This window comes from Homo sapiens, chromosome 7 (assembly GCF_000001405.40).
Source record: "Homo sapiens chromosome 7, GRCh38.p14 Primary Assembly".
Classification (NCBI taxonomy): Eukaryota; Metazoa; Chordata; class Mammalia; order Primates; family Hominidae; genus Homo; species Homo sapiens.
The window spans coordinates 9,986,367-9,989,531 of NC_000007.14; positions in this window are offsets into that span (position 1 = coordinate 9,986,367).

Here is a 3,165-nt window from a genome sequence, read left to right on the forward strand (position 1 = left end):
GCTTAACTTTAAGTGAAAAAAAAATGAGAAAAATGTGCAGAAAATATCTACTATATATTATATTGTGATAAATGACAGCTACTATCAGTTGCTAATAAATTGAACTGAAATAGCAGGATATAAATAAAGAAAAGATCTATATCTAGCCTATTTAAATCTTGCTTCTTAATGGAATTTTATCATTACTTTACTTCTCTATTTTATAGTACATTCTATAAGTTATTTTTTAAATTTACCACATAAAGGAGGCTTTCTATTAAGAGCTTGCTAATGAAATTACAAACTGAAACATGAGTCATAACTGACATGAACATTTGAAATAATACATTAATTCGCTAATCTAGCTGATGATCAAGAAAGGGATGCAGGAAAGAACTGACAATCTGTGCGTATATAGAGTGTCAGATATCCCATGTTGAACATTTATACAGTAGAATAAAATAAAAATAGTGGTATTGCTAGAGCAGCCATGGCTTAATAATCCTGGACCACAGACTGGTTGGTTCTTTAAGATAAAATCAAAGTATGAAGACTTTGAGAAAACACATTATTTCTTTTTATATAAATATTTCTTTTTAAATTAGTAATCGACAAATATATGTGCCTTCAACAATTGCAGATTACAAAATTTCAGAACACTCCTTCTGAACAAAATTAGAAAACTGTAGGAAAAAATTCTTCTTGAAGGCAAAAGACAGCTTGGTGCTGTTATCCCAGTAGTTAGTGAGTTCTTTCTCTCCAGGACTGAAGTAGTTCTGGCAGAAATGGATTAATTCCCATGAGAGTGGATTGTTATAAAGCTAGGACGGTCCCTCAGGTTTTCCCCTCTTTGCACATGTCCACTCTCTTTTGACTTTTTGCACCATGTTGTGATGCAACAGGAAAGCCCTCACCAGAAGCCAGGGCCATGCTCTTGAACTTCTCAACCTGCACAAATGTGAACTAAATAAACTTCTTTTCTTTATTAAGAAAAAAGAGTAAAAATAAATAATTGCTAGGCCCAGATCAAGGAGAAGACAGAGATCCAGAGATAAGGGCTTGATATCTGGAACTTACTCAACCTTGGGGTGTTTGCTTATCCTAAGAGATTCATAGCACATTAATTTATAGCCTCCTCTGCTAAAGGAACAAAGGTGGAAGAACATGTCGACTTAAATGTGGGAGGCCTTATTAAATTACGTGAATTTGTATGAGACCCAAGAGGGCTATATCCTTAAAATAAGGCTAAACTAGAAGTTAACTGCTCCTCCCCAAGACTTTATCCCAACTGCAAATTATCTTAATACCTGAAATTCTATTAAGATGGTTCTAGATTGTCAATGCCCCAGACACATGAGAGAGGTAAACATAAAACTTTTGTTTATGTTTTAAATTTAAATTTAAACTGCATTCCAGTAATATTTAGAATATTACTAGAATGCATTCCAGAAATATTTAGAATATTACTAGAATGCATTCTAGTAATATTTAGATTGCATTCTAGTAATATTTCTGAAAACCAATGGACTAAAGCAGAATATTTTAAAGGCAACAACAGAATTAAAGATTGTCTTCAAAGAAAAGTCAATAATACTAAGAAGCTATTAACCAGTTCAATAGAGACTAGAAGATAAACCCTTTTGAAATGACATTTTAAGGTGCTAAAATATAGCTGTTAAATTAGAATTCTATGTCCATTAAAAATATTCGCTAAGTATTAAGATAAGTACATTTATGGACAAGGAAAACAGAAAATATATCTCTGAAAAATCTACAGAAAAGGAAAAACTAAAGGGAAGTCTATAGGAAGAAAGAAAAATGTGCAAAAATTGCATTTCGTAAAAGCAAAAAAAAGAAAATAAAGAGCAAGAAAAGAAAAATGTTCTATCACCTGCCGGCATTTACAATATATTAATGAACACAATGGTAGCACATAACTAATGATGTGGTAATAAGATTCAAAGGTCCTTAACAAAAGGTAAGGCCCCAACTAACATTAGACTTTGGTAAGTCAAGATTAATGTGATAATTTTTAGGTTAAACACACAACATTTTTTAAAAGTAGGAAATGAGCAAACAAAGAAACCTACAACAAGGGTGAAAAGTAGAAAGATCTCAGTAAAATAAATTTAAATCCAATTATATTAGTAATTACATTAAATATAAATGGATAAAAATCTAATCAAAGTTGCTATACTTGATTTCCTAAAATCACAGTTCTATTTTTTATTTACAGAAAATTAAAATACAGAAAACATAATAAAATAATGCAAAAAAAGTTATGCTACATAAAGACAAATTAAAATAAAACTGACCTGGCAGTATTAACATGAGACAAAGGAAACATTTAGATAAAGAGCATTCCTAAAGAAAGAGAGGAAAATTTCATAGTGATAAAAGATTCAATGTAACAGAAATATATACTTCTAATTTTGTTTTCAACAAATCAATATTAGCTTACTATATATTAAACAAAAGATTATAGAACTAAAAATAGAAAAAAACTGATTCTGTAATTATATTTTTAAATGTTAGTGGAAATCTCTCTTTGATAGAACAAAGGGTACAAGTTAATAATAATTGACTAGAAGAGCTAAGCAACATTAATAAGAAATATAACTTAATGAAGATATTATAGTGTGTATATTAAGTGCTATATCATTGCATACAAGAACTGCAGAATATTGACATACGAAGTTTCGGAATTGAACTGAGAGTATGTTCTCTGATTACCATGCAATTGAGGTTAAAAAAAATACTGAAAATTTAACTAGAAAAAATAAAATATTTGAAAATTAAGCTATACACATTTATATAACTCAGGAGATACAATGGATCACAATGCATATTAATAACTATGTTGAAGTTAATAATATTTAAAATATTACCTATCAATCTTATGGAAGACAGGGAAAGCCATACTTAAAAAACAGTCTCTAATATATCTATCTGTATTTATGTGTGTGTGTGTGTGTGTGTGTGTGTATTAAGAGGTTAAAAATAAAAATGAAGTAAATTCTAATAAAATATAAGGAAATAATTAAAATGGTAATCTAAAGATACATTAAAATAGTGTTGCTCAAATTAAAAAATCATTCATTATAATATCTCTTAGAAAATACAAACACAAAAGAAATTTTGAAATTTAATACATGAAATCCATAAAAATGTGTAGCACACGTTATA